General features: G+C 36.6%; 1 protein-coding gene across 25 annotated transcripts in view, besides 1 other annotated feature; it reads left to right on the forward strand.

The window, feature by feature from the left end:
• The window catches only part of KDM6A (lysine demethylase 6A), a 239,592-nt gene that overhangs the window by 133,155 nt on the left and 89,803 nt on the right, over positions 1–16,634 (forward strand). For 24 of the 25 annotated variants that reach the window (NR_111960.2, XR_007068200.1, NM_001419809.1 and 21 more), the window contains 2 exons: positions 4,619–4,677; positions 14,268–14,388. Coding sequence is in view for 22 of the 25 variants with exons in the window: in NM_001419809.1 (NP_001406738.1) it covers positions 4,619–4,677; positions 14,268–14,388 (180 nt within the window). In the remaining 3 variants the exon portion in view is untranslated. The remainder of the gene's footprint in view (positions 1–4,618; positions 4,678–14,267; positions 14,389–16,634) is intronic. The other variant, NM_001291421.2, reaches the window with a different exon arrangement.
• Positions 7,056–7,175: an enhancer, noted in NCBI's record as "active region_29568". NCBI's record gives its function as "activates an Ori minimal core promoter by ATAC-STARR-seq in GM12878 lymphoblastoid cells {active_cell/tissue: GM12878}" and the evidence as "EXISTENCE:reporter gene assay evidence [ECO:0000049][PMID:35858748]".

Consider the following 16,634-nt stretch of genomic DNA (forward strand, 5'->3'; position numbering starts at 1 on the left):
TTCAGTGCTGCAAAAGAAATAGCACTCGAATATAAAATTTTCTTTTTAATTCTCAGCAAGACAAGATACTTCTATAGAAGGGTGTGCCTTCTATAGAAGCAATGGTGAGCGCACACTTGGACAAGGGAGGGGAGGGGGTTCTTATCCCTGACACACGTAGCCCCTACTGCTGTGTCATTCCCCTCTTGGCTAGGGTTAGACCGCCCAGGCTAAACTAATTCCAATTGGCTGATTTAAAGAGAGTGACGGGGTGAGTGGTTTGGTGGGAAAAATGGTTATGACAGAGCAGGTAATGAGTCAGGGTGCAATCAGTAATCAGAATGAGTCAGGGTGGAGCAGGTAATCGAAAAAGGTTGCTTTGTGAGGAAGTTTAAAAGTAGAAGGTAAAGGATTGAACATACTGACATATTGATTCTTTGAAAAGAAATTTAGAACTCATATCTAACAGCATGGTGGCACACACCTGTGGTCCCAGCTACTTGGGAGGCTGAGTCAGGAGAATTGCTTGAACCCCGGAGGTGGAGGTTACAGTGAGCCGAGATCACACCATTGCACTCCAGCCTGGGGACAAAGCAAGACTCTATCTCAAAAAAAAAAAGATCCTGAGCATTTCTTCAAAGGATTGTAACAGGAGGTGAAACTTGGCTTTACCAGTATGATCTTAATGACAAAGCACAATCAAAGCAATGGCTACCAAGAGGTAGAAATTGATCCAGTCATAGTGAAAGTGGACCGGTCAAGAGCACAGATCAAGACAACAGTTTTTTGGGATTCTCAAGGCATTTTGCTTGTTGACTTTCCGGAGAGCCAAAGAATGACAATAACCTCTGCTTATTACGAGTATGTTTTAAGAACGCCAAAGCTTTAGCAGAAAAATGCCCAGAAAAGCCTCACCATGGCAGTGCCTCTACTCAGTCCTCTCATCAAACAAGGGCAATGTTTTGAGAGTTTTCATGGGAAATGATACAGTCTTGATTTGGCTCCTTCCAGCTTCTTTTTATTTCCTATTTTAAAAAATCTTTAAAGTAAAATCTTTAAAGGGCACCCACTTTTTTCTTCAGTAAATAATGTAAAAAAGACTGCATTGACATGGCTACATCCCCCAGGACCCCTCAGTTGTTTAGGGCTGGACTAAATGGCTGGTGTCATTGCTTACAAACGTGTCTTGAACTTGATGGAGCTTATGTTGAGAAATAATGTTTATATTTTTATCTTTTAATTCTGTTTTTTTCCATGAACTTTTTGAAGTCCCCTTGTACTGGGTGATTGGATTAGTAAATCTTTGGGCATCTACTCTATGGAAGTGCGCCCTGTGCTAGGTGATAACAAGGAATACAGGCAGTGATCACTCCTGCCTTTATGGCATTTTTATTTGATCGGATGGAGTTTAGTCAACACACAAGTAACAAATATATGGTGTAATAGTTAAGAGTGAGCTCTGGAGACTGACCTAGTTTCAGTTCCTATGTCTGCTAGTTAGTACCTGTTTCCTTGAGTAAATTGCTTATTCTCTGATGCAGTTTCTTCATTCTATAAATGAAGCCCTCTACCACCACATAAGGTTTTTTAGAACCTTTTGAAAGAGTTGATGTTAGATATTGCATAAAACTAAGTTTTTACTGTTACATAATAATGTCAGATGATAGAGACGTTGCAGTAAGACCAAATTTAGAGGTTGGAAAAATCACCTCTAGTTTGAGGTGGGACAAGAAGCAAAGCTTTCATGGGGAAGGTGGCATTTAAATGGATCTTGAATGATTAATAGAATTTATAGGGTGGTGGGGATTGAATAAGATTTCCTAGAGGGAGAAGAATGAAGTTGGGAGAATGTACAGTGTGTCCTGAAATCAGAAATGCCCGTCTCTACTAAAAATACAAAAAATTAGCTGGGCGTGGTGGCGGGCGCCTGTAGTCCCAGCTGTTCAGGAGGCTGAGGCAGGAGAATGGCGTGAACCCGGGAGGTGGAGCTTGCAGTGAGCCGAGATCGCACCACTGCACTCCAGCCTGGGCGACAGAGCGAAACTCCATCTCAAAGAAAATAAAAAATAAAAAAAATAAAAATAAACTCATATTTCTATAGTACGCTCACTCCACCCTGTCCAGGCAGTTGCCTAAATAGATGTTAAGATGTTGCTCCCTTTCCTTTCACAACCACCCTCACCCCCACACCCCCATTGTCTTTCAAATCTTGACTTTTTAGGTAGAACACTAAATGACTCTGGATTAACTATTACCACTTTTACCACATTCTGAATATCCATGCCTCCTCTCCCCCACCCTCTAGATTGCATACTTCTTGAGAGCAGGGGAAGTATATTTTATTCAGATTGGTTTGTTTAACCCTTGAGAATTGTCCCTGGCACCAAGTAAATGCTCAGATTATTTCAGGGGATGGGATAGTAGATGAATGATCCTGATTAAAAACAGTTTCAACTAAATTTAAAATTAAAAAAAATTTAAACAGGAAATTTAAAAATGGATGTTGTCTGAGACCTTTGTGACTCCTGGAATTTGTGAATACTTCTGTAATATAATTTCCTCATTCGGAAAATTGGGGGTAATGAGGACTTAATAAAATGAAATTACCATATTTTTACATTTGACAATGTATTTAAGAAACTTAGTGTTTCTAGAAAGATACTTAGAATTCAAAGGAAATGCACAATATAATTTTAGGACAAACTTTAGCATTTTTAAAAAGCAAGAAAAGTCACTCAGCTTGTTACTGGAAAGGGGTCCTGATCCAAACCCCAGGTTGGATCTCACGCAAGAAAGAATTCGAGGATAATCCAGAGTAAAGTGAAAGCAAGTTTATTAAGAAAGTAAAGGAATATCTGCTCATCTGACAATACTTACAGTTATTTCTTGATTATATGCTAAACAAGGGGTGAATTATTCATTAGTTTTCCAGGAAAGCAGTGGGCAATTCCCAGAACTGAGGGTTCCTCACCTTTTTAGACCTTACAGAGTTCTGACGTTGTGATAGTGCTGCTAGGAGTGTCTTTTAGCATACTAATGCATTATAATTAGTGTATAATGAGCAGTGAGGACGACCAGAGGTCACTTTTGTTGCCATCTTGGTTTTGGTGGCTTTTGGCTGGCTTCTTTACTGCAACCTGTTTTTATCAGCAAGGTCTTTGTGACCTGTATCTTGTGCCAACCTCCAGTCTCATCCTGTGACTAAGAATGCCTAACCTCCTGGGAATGCAGCTCAGTAGGTCACAGTCTTACGTTACCCAGCCCCTATTCAAGATGGAGTTCTTCTGGTTCAAATGCCTCTGACAAGCTGTTTACATTTTGGGCTTTAAACATCATTGGTTCTTTTTCTCAACTAATGAATTACAGAAGTTGTAGTATAATTACCCTAGTTCCTTCATACTTAGGGCAAGATGACTCTGAGAAATGTTCCATACTGTCTCCCAGAGATCTCCAGCAGGCTTGAGTCCCAGTTGCCTAGAGTCATAATCAGCTCCATAATGCATCCTTTATTGGCATACTTTCCTTTCCTGACTCACTTCTTTACTTCATTAAAGGTATTTCCTCAGATACTTCTCAAATAAACTACTTGTACAAAAACCTTTATCTCACAGTCTTTCTTGGGAGATGCAACGCAGGCAGCATGACAAGCATTGTAATAATAGTTAAAATTTTGAAGTTTTAGAAATCAGAGACATTTGTAATTTGAAGCTTATAATTTCGAAGAAGAAATTTGTTCACACAGATCAGTATGAAAGCTTTACCTTCTTTTTTAATAGGGAAGATTTACTAAAATAGATTTGCTTGGTTATTGATAAAACATATACTGGGTACTCAAACATTTGCTGTTTTTGAAAATAAGGAGTAGGATCTGGGCATGGTGTCACATGCCTTTAGTCCCAGCTACTTGGGAGACTGAGGTGGGAGGATTGCTTGAGCCCAGGAGTTTGAGGCTGCAGTGAGCTGTGATCGCGTTGGGGTGACAGAGCGAGACCTTGTCTCTTTAAAAAAAAAAGAAAAAAAATCATGGAGTTATATAAATATAAATTATATAAATAGCTGGATCCTATTAGGAGTCCAGAGGTCAAAGTTAGTCAGGATAAGTGTTGACACATGTCTTGTTTCATACTGCAAAAGGAGTCAATGATATTTAAAGCACAAGATGTTAATGCCTAGGTGATGATTGGCATGATGCTATTTTTCTTAAATACTAAAATTTGTTTTAGGTTTATACTGTGCATTTCCTTTGAATTCTAACTACCTTCCTGGCAGTACTAAATATAAAATTAAATCCAATTCAAGAAACAAAAAGAACCAGAGGAAGAATGTAGATACAAGCAAGAGAGAATAGGATAACATAGGCTGAGCATTCTCTTATTCCTGAAGAATAGATTTTTAATTTTAGATTTGACCATAGAATTTCTGCTAGTAAATATTTTTATTTCAGGGCTGGAATACCTCTCTAAGTTGATTGGAATCTGTGCCATCTGATCACTGTTATTTTGGTGTTTTAAAAATATATTGTAATGCATGATAGAATTTTAGGACTTAAAACATCTTGGATACCGTATTTTACAATAATAACATCATATATGTTAGATACAAGTATTTTTCCTAAAAATCTTTTTCCCTTCCTTTACAGAATGCTGCCTTTTTATATGGTCTTGGTTTGGTCTACTTCCATTATAATGCATTTCAGTGGTAAGTTGACATAAAACCAGTAATTCAGTCATTTTCAGTAAATGGCTTGTTTGCTTGTTTTGTTTGTGCTTGATTTTTTGTGTGTGTGTGTAATAAATAGAAAATTTAGTGTCATTAAACCTACACTTTTCAGTAATCTTTTGAAATGATTAGATTGTTCCTTGAAGGGTGTTGGCTCACCTTAGATTTTTAGAGTTGTATGTTTTCCTGAAAGAATCTAGTATAAGATTCTGTTGAAGAAGGCTTAGATTAGAAAGCTTTTTGGAATTTCTTAGTCATTCATTATGGACTGGTGTTCCCCAAGTTATTTGAACTGGTGAATCACTGTGATCTCAGAAGTCAAGATATGTGGGTAAATGGTCTATGATGGCTAGTTTTCAGACTTCTAGACAAGATTGACCACTTCTCCCTTCCACATACCAGCTAGCACTTTCCAATATCCAGTAACTAGGCACCAACTCATAAACTCTCAGTTCTCTGTAGAATAGTACCACTTCAGAGTTGGAGATTAAATATAATAATAGTAATATATAAGATTTTCTAAACTGTAAAGTGAAGTACCCTGTAATATTATGGCCTTTGCCCCATTGTTGTTTTTCTGTTTACCAGACAATAGTATGCACTAATGGGGTAAAAAGGCATATAGTTTTAGTTGAAAGATTGGTATTGTTGTCACAGCATTGCCACTTAGTTTGATCTTGAATTAAATAACTTCTCTAGGTCTGTTTCCTCTTTAGTTTGTTTATTTATTTATTTATTTATTTTATTTATTTATTTATTTTTTGAGACAGGGTCTCACTCTGTTGCCCAGGCTGGAGTGCAGTGGCGAGATTGCAGCTTACTGCAGTCTCAATCTATTGTGTTCAAGCAGTCCTTCCACCTTAGCCTCCCAAGTAGCTGGGACCACAGGCACATGCCACCATGCCCAGAGAGTTTGTTTTTATTTGTAGAGATGGGGCCTCCCCCTATGTTGCCCAGTCTGGTCTTGAACTCCTGGCCTCAGGGCATGCTCCCACCTCAGCCTCCCAAAGTGCTGAGATTTACAGGCATGAGCCCCCACGCTGGCATCATCATTTGTTTAAAAAACAAAACTACATAGCAGTCACTTGCCTTTCCTATAGAGTTTTGATGATCAAGTGAGATACAGTACATTTTATAAAATGTCAACCCAATGTAGATTTTTTTTTTTTTTTTTTTTTTGGTCAGAGTCTCACTCTGTCGCCCAGGCTGGAGAGCAGTGGCACGATCTTGGCTCACTGCAACCTCCGCCTCCCGGGTTCAAGCGATTCTCCTGCCTCAGCCTCCCAAGTAGCTGGGATTACAGGCGCCCGCCACCATGCCTGGCTAATGTTTTTGTATTTTTAGTAGAGACGGAGTTTTACCATGTTGGCCAGGCTGGTGTCGAACTCCTGACCTCAAGTGATCCGCCCACCTCAGCCTCCCAAAATGCTAGGATTACAGGTGTGAGCCACCACACCTGGTGACATTTTTTATTTTTAGTGTATCTGACCTTTTCAGAGTCCCTTCTGTGCTCCAGAATTTTAAGCTCACGGGTGAGTTCTGTGGGAGTCCAAAGGAAGGTGATTGAGTGGCAAAATGTTACAACTCTGTCATATACCTATTGGGCACCCTGAATACTTATTACAGAGCATTTACATATGCATTGACAGTGATTTTATATGGTTTCCCTAAAGAGGAGGCTTTATACATGGATGGTTTTTCCTAGTATCCTTTTTCTTCCCTCTTAGCTTTTGGTCTTGTTGGCTTTTGATCATGTGTGGAAGCACTGCTTTGTTAGAGAATACCTGTGTGTATATAGTGTATTATAATGATTCAGATCACTGGTTTTCTTTGTAAATCTTAGGAAGGTATAATTGATTTTTATGAAGAAGCTTTGTAATTTTATTCTCTATTAAATTATCCTAAATAAAGCCTCCTAACTTCATGTTCAGTGTATTGTATTTAAAACCAAAGATAGATTAGGACTGTTTTAAAATCTTTCAGTTTCTTTAATAGCCTACTTATAGAATTCAAATTCTAAACTTCTAGAATTAGAAGTAGTCTTAGAGATAATTTAGTTTTTCCCCCTTAATTTTGTAGATGGAGAAAGCAAGGGGGTGTGTGTGTGTGTTAGTCAGTATTACATAACTGTTGAGTGGCAGAAGCAAGCTTATGCTCATAGTCTCCAATCAAATATTTTATTGTACTCTGTCCCCAGGTTTTAAGATTGAGAGGTGGTTATTATTTAATCAGTATTTGTCATTGTTCACTTGAGCACATTGATATAATCTTTATGGCCAACTAGAAATAATTTAGGTGACACCTGAGGGGAGGAACTCTTCTGTTCTACCTCATACCAGCCAGTTTTCGCATACCTATGGCAATTTGTAAGCCTCTCTGTGTACTGGGGTTAAGAACATAAAATTAGTAATGAGGTGAACCTGTCAATAGTTCAAATGTTGATTGCTTTAATAAGCATGTGGCCATGTTAAGTTAGCAGGCTTGTAGCTGTGATTCCTTATCTACATATGATTTCTATATTTTTCAGTTGACCTAAGAAATGAAACTGAATGATATAAGGACAATGCAATGTCTACATTAATAAGTGCCCCCTGCTCTGTTGATCCTGTTCTGGTTACCATCATTTTCTCATGTCTTGAGTTTCAATTCTTATAGCTGCTTCCTAAAATGATACATCTCACACCCTATCTTATGAATTCACTCTGGCTGTGTTTTTCTCTTGCTAATCAAATGTTCTTTCACAAATTTGCCTCACATTTTTGCTTTAACTTGATATTTCTTTAACAGCTATAAAATTAGAAAGTATGGGGTAGGTGCTTGGTGATAGTTTTAGAGTACAGCCTTAATTGATTGGAGCTTATTTAGGTTAAAACTACTTTTGTGTTTTATTTGTAGATACTTGCTGATTACTGGGATCAGGAATGTTTTAGTTACATGTCAGGTTCTTTGGGATCTATTGAGAAATGTTTCTGGGGATGAGTATGGGTTCTTGTTTTGTATTGTCAGCATGAAGAATCTGCCTATGATGTTTCAGAGTGTTGTATCTCTGGTACATTTATAATTTAAGTAAAATTTGGTATTTGCTAATTGTGTCTGTTGGCATTTGTTGAGGTTAAGCATTTTATGATAATGTGTGTGACCAACGTGTGTCTGAGTTGGTGACTTAAAATATTGAGAGCAATTTTATTAGTTATAGTGTTACTCTTAACCTATTGTCATCTTATGCTACCTATTTTTTATTTCAGAGTTGATTTTATTGGTCAGCCTCTAGATAGTTCAATTATTTGGTCAGTTTTTCCAGTATCAGTTGCAGCCTCTTCTTAGACAGAGGAGCCCAGTCAACTGTTCCATCCTCATTGGACTTACGGTAACAGCTATGCTGTTATTTTACTCAGTAATCTGGGACCAAACTTAAAAGATGCCCAGAAGGATAAAGGAAGACATAGAAGCAGAGTGTAAAATATATGCAGCAGAGTGCTAGAAACCAGTCTCTAAAAAGCCATTGCTTTACATGTGCATGCATGCAAGCCCCTGCATTCACTTGTTCTTATTCATTAAGGTGGCTCTTTGCTAGGGGATACCTTGAACTGAGCTCCTTGCCTTTGGAAGGAAACCTATATCCTAGGGTGAGAGTAAGTGAAATACAAAGCAAGGAAAAGTTAGACTAAAAAAAGATAGTTGGGGGAAAAGATAAAGTCAGTACAATAGAAATCATTCTTCCTTGTATAGCTTATAGCCATCTCTCTAAATATATCTTCCTAAGAATCCTTATTAACTATCTCTGTCCTGTAACCTTTTTCCTTCTTTCCATTCCATTGATCAATATCAGAATGGTCTTATGGCAGCAAATGTAAGAGATACTGTGCTAGAAGCATAGGATTTTGGAAATTAAGCCCCCAAATATAATTGACAGGCTTAATAAGGAAATGTGATAATTATTACTTTGACATAAAAAAGGATTAGGAGAATGAGGTAGAAATGAATTCAGAAAGACAGAAATATTAACAAATTACTACTAAAGTTTTCTTTTTTCTTTTCTCTTCTTTTTTCTTTCTTTTCTTTTCTTTTCTTTTTTTTCTGAGACAGGATCTCAGTCTGTCACCCAGGCTGGAGTGTAGTGGCACAATCACGGCCCACTGAAGTCTCAACCTCCCGGGGCTCTAGTGATCCTTCTACCTCAGCCTCCCGAATAGCTTGGACTACAGGCTTGAAGGCTTGAACCACTATGCCTGGCTAATTTTTTGTATTTTTTTTTGTAGAGATGAGGTCTCACTGTGTTGCCCAGGCTGGTCTTGAACCCCTGGGCTCAAGCAGTCCTCCTGCCTTGGCCTTCCAAAGTGCTGGGATTATAGATGTGAGCCACGGAGCCTGGTGTAAAGTTTCTGTAGGATTCATTTTCATAGCACTGTACTAGTCACAAGTGTTCTTAGGGGTGTAGGAATTTCTACTCTCCTGTATAGTCACTGCTTTGGGTTCAGTAAAGAAAAAGAATAGTGGTTTTAATGATGTTCTTACAGCTTTTTGATGGAACGAAAGAATAATGCAACATAGACCTAATGCATGGTGGTACCATTGATTCTGAGGCTTGTCTAGCATGGAGCCTGGCAAACGTTGTATTTTTGAGCTATCATGATACAAACATACTCTTACATTTCCATTGAAATTAAGCAGTTAATGTTAACATGTTTTGAGTTTATTATATATACTTTTATTTTGGAAAATAGCAGATTTAAGGCAGTTCTGATAAAGTTACACTTAAACAGTGATACATAGATTGCCAGATAAATTTTGGAAGGGCTTTGATTAATTAGGCTTCAGGGAAATTGTGAATAAAAACATAAATCTTGCAATAGGGTAGGGGAAAGAAAATAATCCCACTCCTGAAGTGATGAAATGAAGAGTGGCTAGAGAGGAGAAAAGAACCAGGACAGGTGATATATTAGCAACTGTCAGTGTGAATAATCCAGGGTATGACATTTCTAATTTAGCCTCACATTTAAGGTCATTTCTGATTCAACCTCAAATGATCCTTCTAGCCTACTGCTCCCCTAAATATTAATATATTCTTTGTGCCAGTCACAGTGTATTAACATTTCCCTGAAAACATCTTAAGCATTTTTTTTAACCTATGTGACTTTTGCCTTCTTCCATCTCAACCTTTTAAAATCTTACCTACCTGTCCCTTACTTCATCAAATGTTTCTAATTATTTAGAAACAACTTCTAAATTTCCTAATATATATGTATATCTGTGTTGTGTATGTATGTGTTATAACTAAATTAGAGCTAAAATATTCTTTTATTAGTATGAAAATTTGTGGAATTAGTTGATTTATCCCTTCATATATCTCTGTGAGAAATCTCTTGTTCAGCCTGTTAGCCTCAGAGAACTTAAAGTTTTATTGATTTTATTTTATGTATGTATGTATGTATGTATGTATGTATGTATGTATGTATGTATTTGTTTATTTATTTATTTGAGACAGAGTCTCACTCTGTCGCCAGGCTGGAGTGCAGTGGCACAATCAAGGCTCACTGCAACCTCTGCCTCCTGGATTCAAGCTATTCTTCCGCCTCAGCCTCCTGAGTAGCTGGGACTACAGGCGCGTGCCACCACGCCCAGCTAATTTTTGTATTTTTAGTAGAGATGGGGTTTTACCATGTTGGCCAGGATGGTCTCTATTTCTTGACCTCATGATCCACCCACCTTGGCCTCTCAAAGTGCTGGGATTACAGGTATGAGCCACCATGCCCAGCCAACTTAAAGTTTTATTATGTGTCTTTCCAAATGTACTGGAACTGTGCTAAGAATATTAATACTATTATTTTTACTATAGTTTTAGAGGAGGCTTTAAAAATGACTTTGTGGAAGTCTTATTAAAAATGACCATTGTGAAATATATTCAGCACATGTATATGTTTTTTGTAGGTAGTGTTATTGAGGTTTTAGCTTTATATCATTTTCTTTTTAAAATGGTTAACAGTGGCAAACATTAAATGAAAAATCCTTTAAACTGAAAATCTATAGAAACTATTTTGATGATATAAAAACTATATTTTTCAGATTTTAAGAAAAATGCCAATGATACCATGCAGAGCAATGTGCATTTCTTTTGTTTCGTTAGAGAATATGCTTTAAGTATTTGAAAACTGTAAACCTTTCCAGGGAATTGTATCATAAAAGTATTTATGGTTTCTGGTAGCTATTTCTCATGTTCTAAAATTCCATCAGTCAGAATTCTGAGGTTACAGAAATTGAATGTGTTAATGATTTAGTCTAGTTTGTGCCATAGAGATCATGTTGTGGCCACCTGCATTTTGGTGAAATATGAATGCAGTAAGCTGATGACCAAAATTAGAATGTAGTCTGAGTGTTACCTATTTTCTCTACCCTCCCACTCCCTCAACTCTTAACTCTAAACTCTTAACTCCAAATCCACCTTCCCTTGTACTTCCTTCTCCCCCTCCCCCAGTGTTTTTATTTCTTATTTATTTACTTGTTTTTCTTGGGATGGATAAACCTGAAGACGCACACAGGAGAAGAACATGGAAAAGTTTAGAAAAGGAAATGAACTTACATGTTCGAATAATGTGTTTTGTGTTAGAAGAACTGATCAGTAAAGAAGTCCCATCAATTAACTGTAAATGTGATGGCACCAGTAAACATCTATTAAATTTAAACCCTTTGCTGTATTATTTTAGGATATTAAACATAGAAGAGAAATATAGGCCTCAAGGAATACACTTGGAAAAACTGGAGACAGCACACTGATAGGTAGTGAATGAAATGATTTGATCGTAAAGTAGACCTAACTGCTGGTTTACACTAAGCAAAAATTGTCGTTGACCAGTTTGGGTGGTGTGTCTTGACGATAATAGTGGATTTAGAGGGCAGCAGATGAATCAAAATATTAGAGATCAGGAGAATTAGTAAGGAAAAGCAGTGAAGTCAGGAGAACCAGTATTTAAGAATTCCTGAGATAAGCCAGTTTATAGCTGAGGAGGAGCAATAATAGGGGTAGAAGAAGAAATGGAGTTGAATAAGTACTGCTCACCCATCTTAAGTGCAACATGGAGATTTTATTTATAGTATCATAATTGTTAGGCAATCACAGGAGCCACACGTTTGAGGGAATATGTACAAGCCAGAGCAGAGCAAGGAAAGTCCTTAAGGAGACTATTTCAGTAATCTAGTAATGAGATACAGAAGCAGAAGATTGGGTCTATAAGGTTTTCGATTAGAGATAAACTTAGAAAGAACAACGAGGAGAACTTTGATTATATATATATAGGTTGCACCTTGTCCTGGGCACTTAATAGTCCCTAAAGAGTAAACGTAGACAACTGCTGTTATTTGGAACATGTGTTTTTTGCTTATAGATTAACAGTGTGTTTTTTTAACCTCAGTTTGTTAACAGACATAGAGAACATGTTAAACCCATGTTTCTTTGCGCCCGTGTGACATTGTGAACTAAGTGGAAAAGATGTCTGTGCTAAAGGCACCCATGGAGTAAAACATATCCACAAATACTGTGTTTAGGGAAAAGGCTAGAAATAGAAACTGAGAGTAGGAAATATTGCACCTGAGGGGCTGTTATTGTACTGTGTTCCTTCTCCTTCTCTTCCTGACATACCCTTTGTTATACCTTTTTCCTTTCCTGAATTCTTTGTTATTTCTTTATTCTTTTCCACTTTCATTCTTTTTCTTTCATATCTTTGACTCAGGCCTGCCTGGGTTTTTTATTGGCATGTGTGGACATTGCTTAGTTCTGACCCATTCCATTAGAGAGTTTTCTGGTCCTATAAGGTAAGGTTAAGAAGCATTATCCATAATTTTATTATTATAAAATATAACATACCTACAGAAAAATGCATAAATCGTCATTGTATATCTTAACATGTTGTTATAAAATAAACATTCATGTAATCACCACCTCCATCAAGAAATAAAATACTGCTATCACCCCAGAAGCTTCTAAAAGTCTTTGTATACCCTTTCCCAGTCACACCATATGTTTTAATTGGCAGCATTTATTGCTGCAGTTGTCCTCGTCCTAACCCTTTTGATGCCTTTTCCAAACATGTGACTTGCCCCAACCCCTAAGTGTACATTGATTAAGTAGGAAGCTGCCTTTAAATGAGAATGGTAATTTACCACAGTTTTTGCCTGTCAGTGCTTTAACTCTCCTCTCCTGCCTCAAAGCCTATATACATCAGATAATAACACACATACCCCACCTACTTAAAAATCCACCTAACAGATGGATACCCAGCTCCCCTTCAGAAGAAAGTACTGTCATAATCAGGGTAAAGGTGTCTGATGCCAGACCTGTGTTCCACCCCTCACTGCCATCTGCAATAAACACTACCTTTTAGGACTCTTAATTTTATAGCAAAAGTGTACATAACCATTCACACTTTTTTGGGAAGTAAATAATGTATGAATTGATGAAAGTAAAGTTACTAAATACATGAAGTATTATTTTGCTCTATTTTGTGGCTATGATGTTTCGAACTATTTTATACAAAAGATTGTTTTTGTTTTGAAAGCATCTAAGATTCTAAATAGCCACTTTAAGGTCTGTAGGGGTAGAGATAATTGATTAAAAGTTTTGCAAATAATATATTAGCTTGTGCTTGGAAGAAGCTTTAAATCATGTAGAGGAACCTAAAATGATACTGAATATACTGTTATATCTGATATAACCTTCAAAATTCAAAGTAGACATTTTTCTTTGTCATTATTTTAATATTTATTTTTGAGTAGGCAATACAGTCATATGATCAAATTAAACAATATAATAATGTATTCAATGAAAAGTGTTTCTTTCCCCAACCCCTGAACTTGTTCTATTGGTGATCAAAACCTTTTATAAAAGATACAATGTGAATTTGGGGCAAAGATGAACTGATAGACGAAGAAAAGCGGAATGGAATAGAGAAGTAGACCTACACAAATATGGGTATTTGATTTAGGACACAGTAGCAACATAGAGTTTTGGAGTAAGGATGGTCATTTCTACAAATGGTGCAGGTACTATTGGATATCAGTTTGGAAAATATGAAGACCGTCTCTTAACCGCACATAGTATAAAAGATAAGGTACAGATGGTTTGTAAGCCTAAATATGAAAGACAAAAATGTAAACTTTTAGAAAGAAGACTTATTTTTATAGAGTAGACCAGAAACAAGATTAATCCCATATCCTTAAAAACTTTCCTGTTTGCCCCACCCTGTTTTCCTCTAGGAAATTTCAGAAACAATGAAATCAGTTATTTCTACTGATAATTTGATTAAACCATGAAATACTGTCTGTTTGAATAATTTAGAATAAATTCAACCTATCTTCCTTCCCCTTTATATCAAATTAGATTATATACGTTTAATTATATAAAAGGTCCATATGCCCCTTTTCAATTTTACTTTTTTAGTATTTATTAACATCATTTTTATAAAACCAACATTTCCTTTAAAACAATATTGCATAAAACAGAAGTTTCAATGTACTACCAAGCAAGAATTCATGCACGTGTTAAAAAGTTAAGATATCTTATGTCTATATTCTTTCAGGGCAATTAAAGCATTTCAGGAGGTGCTTTATGTTGATCCCAGCTTTTGTCGAGCCAAGGAAATTCATTTACGACTTGGGCTTATGTTCAAAGTGAACACAGACTATGAGTCTAGTTTAAAGGTAGGTTGTTGGGTTTTTTCAAGATACAATGTTTAATTTTGTGGTTTTTTTGTTTTTGTTTTTCTTAAATATTAGAGCATTGAGAAATGTTGGAATTTATATTGGCACTTTAAAAGAAAATTTGAAAATTCAGGTGACAGAACTGTTTATCAACTGTGAAGTAGAGTTTCAAGGTACAAAGTAGTTATGCTAAGACTTCCATGGTAACATTATACAATTACACTTTAAAAAAATAGTTTTAACTAAGATCTGTCATCAGGAAAGGGTGAAGGTTTCAGTCTGTTTGGATATGTAAATAACTCCTCTAGAAATGATTTGCCACTGTAGAGTTCAGAACCAGCTGAATGGTTCTGAAAGGATGTTTTTCTGTGACCCAATCATTGACCCTGTTTCCATGGGTCTCAGTACTTCTACCAGCAGAAGCACATCTTATATTTAAATTAGAAAAAAGAGTGTTCTCTGCAAGGCATTTGGACTGTTGGTTTGTGAGCATAAACGTTGTGGGAAAAGATGATATGTTGTTGATTAACTTCGTATCCATGGAAATGTGATATTTCTCCAGTTTTTAATTTTTCATTGAGTTTTTTATGCTATCTGAACCATCAATTTAGGTCTTGCTGGGCTTTTTCTGAAAATAGTGCTTTCCTGCCCAACAGAGGAATTATGTTTTGAAAGGAGTAGCAGTTGTAGGAAAAAGTTTAAGTTTTTGTGAATTTATGTTTATTGTTTATAATGGTTGTTGTATTCTGAATCTCCATTGCAGACTATCTTGATTCTAAAGGAAGGGTGGTTGGGGAGATAAAGAATGACATTCAAGTAGATTGTAATTTGAGCTCACTAATAAGGAACTACTGAAGGTTAAAAATAAAAAAAACTGTACTCAAGAGTGTCTAATTGTTCTAGATTTTTAAAGTAGAAAACTATGCAAGTACTGTTTCTACCTTACATGAGTTAAAAGAACAATACTGATGATGTTAAAGAGAGAGGGAGGTACAACCAAAAACACTAAAAACAGTAGATTGCGAAGAATTTAGATCACACAGTGGTTGAAGGTAAGTGCAGTCGAGGAATAAGTTCCAGGGTAAGTGCAGGGTGCAGGTAGTGTGGAGAATGAGGGATGCCTGGAAGTTACCACTTTTCCTCAAGCTTAGAGTAGTAGCATTTCTGACACCATACTGTGGGACGTCAGCGGATATGAACTGGAAAATAAGTTTATAAAGCTGCCTCACATTTTTTTTGCAGTTTCTATTAGCTATCAAAGACTCTTTAAAATGTCTTATAATACAGAATAAACATTTAAGCATTTCACATGCTTATTATGTTGCAGAAGTGTTTTTGGTAGCAGTTTGGTAAATGTTGCTTAGGAAATACATTTGAAGGGAAAAGCAATCAGATGTGTCCCACATTATGGAATGTGACTATGCGTGTATCAGTACAGTGATACCTTAAGTAATTCTAAAGATGCAAAATTCCATTTAAATGAAAGTGGCGATATTTAAAATCTCCTTTAATCAAGGGAAACAGTGTTTCATGGCCGATTGAAAGTGTTCTACTTAACTTAAGCTTGGTGGGAACATTCCTGCATACCACTTTTATTTGTTCAGGTAGAAAGTCTAAAAAGTCAAGTCATGGTGATCTTAGCAAAATTGCCTTAAGTGAGGGCAGCCTTCTTTTGGGGGACTTTTACCTTTAACGAGTCCATGATATTTCTCGTCCCTAGAGTGTGAAGGTTTCATTTGATTTTTATCTCATCCTGACTTTGGCTTTTTCAGCCCTCTCTCTAGTATTCCTTATCTATTTTAAGAAGAATTTGGGCATGAACATTTTTAGTCAAAGAGGAGGAGGTATTTTAGTTTATTACTAAAGTGCTTAGCATTCAGAATGAGTGAAGGTAGGAATAGAAGGAATGATATCCCCCTTTAGGTGGTTTTCCATTTTTCTAATACTTCACCTTCATCTGGATAAATGTGGAACCTCTGATGGCTTTTCCACAACATTAAGCTGTTTTGTAGCACAGTGTGTTGGTATAGATGCTTTTTAGGCTGTAACCTCAGGGACTCCAACTCAAATTGGTTAAAATAATAAAAAATATGCTCCTATGTGAAGTCTAGCCTTCAGGATTGGTTGATTCAGCTGATCTAAGGTTTCATCAAGGATTCATTTTCTTCTCAGTTCTGTATTGGCTTTTTCTAAAGGCTGGTTGCTCTGCTTAGTGTAATGCTGGCATATAAGTGCATAGTAAATGA

This window comes from Homo sapiens, chromosome X, assembly GCF_000001405.40.
Source record: "Homo sapiens chromosome X, GRCh38.p14 Primary Assembly".
Lineage (NCBI taxonomy): Eukaryota > Metazoa > Chordata > Mammalia > Primates > Hominidae > Homo > Homo sapiens.